Consider the following 2,964-nt stretch of genomic DNA (forward strand, 5'->3'; position numbering starts at 1 on the left):
AAAATTTGGGGTGAGAGGCCTTCATGCCTCTGCCTGCCCTCCTCACCTGACCCCAGGGACGCCCTGGCCCCTGGAGGTGGGAGGAGAGTATTGCCTCCTGACCCGGCAGCACCTGCTGCTCCCGCCATCTCCTGAATCCCTGGCCGCCTTTATCCTCACACCTGAACAGAGGAAACCATCACACCTTTGTGCCCGACGAGGGAGGCCCAGAGGGCTTAAACCTCCCCTGCTGTGATTTCCGCAGTGTTCTCCATAGGCGTAAGATGGGTCATCCTCTAGCCGAGGGGGAGCTGCCCAGCTGACCACTGGAAGCTGTTCTCCAGCTGCTCCCAGCCCAGACCAGGCCAACCAGCTCCGTCCGTGTATGCAGCCTCAAACCGATGATGCTGTTGCCAATCCTTGCTTCTCAGCTGAACGTGTTTTCTGATTACAACGTAGTACAGACTTAAAAGAGGACATAGAAAAGTTGAATTGGAAGGAGGAAGAACGGGAAGAAGACGTGTTATCATCTTAACACCTGTAAGTCTCTTCAAATTTTGATCTATTTCCTAAAATACACACATGCATGCAAACATAGGCACGCGCATGAATACACTGTATGCACACCAAGGAGGCAGTGAGCACACGTGCTTTACGTCAAAGGAATGAATTTGAGTTGCCAGGTAACATGCACTTCCTCAGGTCACTCATTTCGAGGGTGATGATATTAATACTAGGAACCACCCCCAGGGCTATTGCGGGGGTTACAGGAGGAAGCAGCGCAGGACTCAGGGGGCTAGGGCGACTCGAAATCCTCAGGTACAGACACCAGCTTCTTTATAACGGCACACACTTGTGGGTGTTGTGTAAATACACTTACAAAAAACAACGCTGAGACCAGACTTGAACATTTTCTCTTGACTCCATACTTTGAAAACTTTCCTATATCCCACACGAATCTTGTTCTGTAATTTACGAAACCCATCCCCTCTTGTGAGGGCAGTTTTGAGCTTCTCCCTTGTACATGTCCTTCTCTCAGCAATTACACTGGAGATCTCTGGCAATTTCTCTAAAGTAAAATAGAGAAAGCTTAGTTGTATTCCTGTAGCCCTGGTGGGCGTGTGGCCACATCTCAGGATTGATTCTGACTTGAATTCACTGCCACCCTCCAGGAAATGGTAATTTCCAGTACCTCCTTACTCACCCCAGGGACTCAATGATCTCTCCTTTTTCAGCCAAGGAAATGAGGTTTGCTGGGGCGAGGTTCCCTGCACCTGCTGGTGCCCCGTCACCTCCTATTTGCCTCATTTTCCCTTTCTCTTCATGGCCTCCCTCTCCTCCTCATTACAACCACAGTCTCACCTACACGCTGTTAATTTTTAAAAATCGGGCCCTATTGACAAAAATAAGGGAATTCACAACATGGGTTGTGCATCAATGGGGCCCCTGCTGGTTTCCCTCCTCCTGCTTCTGCCAGCAGACCCACGGTTTTGGTTTCTGTGGAAGGGCCAGAGGAGCAGGAATTGGTTAAACAGTGATCAATCACACTGACCAATCCGTATCCTGAGGCGCATAAGCTGCACTGCCCGAGGGTGTTTCACCCACCCTCTGTTGCCCTGGACTGCCTGGGGCGCCGCACCAGCCACTGTTGGGAAGGCTCCAGCGCTACCTTCCCTGGGGCTGGGACAGGTTGACTTTGTCACTGGTGCAGTTTGTCATGATGCAGGCTCTGCTGGCCGCTGGTCAGGGTACCTCGTCATGAGCCCCACTGACGCACGCATGCCCCACACTTGCTCCTCCTTTTAGCCACCCGCCCTCCTTCCTGAGGGACCAAGCGACCTCACAGCAAAGGCAGCGGTGCAGCAGCATGCCCAGAGAGATGGGCAGGTCCTGAGACCCGGGAGCCCCCTCAGGGGCCCTCCCAAGGGCAGCCTGTGTTTGAACAAAGCAGTGCCCTGTCCAAATAACAACAAGGAAGAGTGAGCACAGAAGGTGAAGCCCTGGAGCCCAGGGCAGCTTCCTGAGTTCCCATGACAGGAAGCATGGGGAGCAAAACTAACAAAGCTGCTCTGGAGTCCTCGCTCCAAGACGCAGGGCTTCTAGACCACCCACACCTCCTGGCAGGCCCTGGGGGATGTCTGGCGGGCTGGGAGGTCAGCTCTGCCCTCTGCTTAACCCAGTTCCTCACCCCTGCACCCAGAGCACACCTGTCCTGACCTCATCCCCCACCACACCTGTCCTGTCCTCATGCCCCAACACACCTGTCCTGTCTCTCATCCCCAACACACCTGTCCTGTCCCCATCCCCCAGCACACCTCTCATGTCCCCATCCCCCAGCACACCTGTCCTGTCCTTCATGCCCCAGCACACCTGTCCTGTCCTCATCCCCAGCACACCTGTCCTATCCCTCATGCCTCAGCACATCTGTCCTGTCCCCATCCCCCAGCACACCTGTCCTGTCCCCATCCCCAGCACACCTGTCCTGTCCCTCATGCCTCAGCACACCTGTCCTGTCCCCATCCCCAGCACACCTGTCCTGTCCCTCATGCCTCAGCACACCTGTCCTGTCCCCATCCCCAGCACACCTGTCCTGTCCCTCATGCCCCAGCACACCTGTCATGTCCCCATCCCCCAGCACACCTGTCCTGTCCTCATCCCCCAGCACACCTGTCCTGTCCCCATCCCCCAGCACACCTGTCCTGTCCTCATCCCCCAGCACACCTGTCCTGTCCCCATCCCCCAGCACACCTGTCATGTCCTCATCCCCCAGCACACCTGTCCTGTCCCTCATGCCTCAGCACGCTTATCCTGTCCCCATCCCCCAGCATACCTGTCCTGTCCTCATCCCCTAGCACACCTGACCTGTCCCCATCCCCCAGCATACCTGTCCTGTCCTCATCCCCAGCACACCTGTCCTGTCCTCATCCCCTAGCACACCTGACCTGTCCCCATCCCCCAGCACACCTGTACTGTCCCCATCCCCCA

At 55.7% G+C, this 2,964-nt stretch overlaps 2 annotated features.

Moving 5' to 3' along the window:
* Positions 1,391 to 1,891: an enhancer, noted in NCBI's record as "H3K4me1 hESC enhancer chr6:168791284-168791784 (GRCh37/hg19 assembly coordinates)". NCBI's record gives its function as "activates a minimal SCP1, AML or CMV promoter by ChIP-STARR-seq in primed H9 embryonic stem cells {active_cell/tissue: H9 hESC(primed)}" and the evidence as "EXISTENCE:reporter gene assay evidence [ECO:0000049][PMID:30033119]".
* Positions 1,892 to 2,392: an enhancer, noted in NCBI's record as "H3K4me1 hESC enhancer chr6:168791785-168792285 (GRCh37/hg19 assembly coordinates)". NCBI's record gives its function as "activates a minimal SCP1, AML or CMV promoter by ChIP-STARR-seq in primed H9 embryonic stem cells {active_cell/tissue: H9 hESC(primed)}" and the evidence as "EXISTENCE:reporter gene assay evidence [ECO:0000049][PMID:30033119]".

This window comes from Homo sapiens, chromosome 6 (genome assembly GCF_000001405.40).
Source record: "Homo sapiens chromosome 6, GRCh38.p14 Primary Assembly".
Classification (NCBI taxonomy): domain Eukaryota; kingdom Metazoa; phylum Chordata; class Mammalia; order Primates; family Hominidae; genus Homo; species Homo sapiens.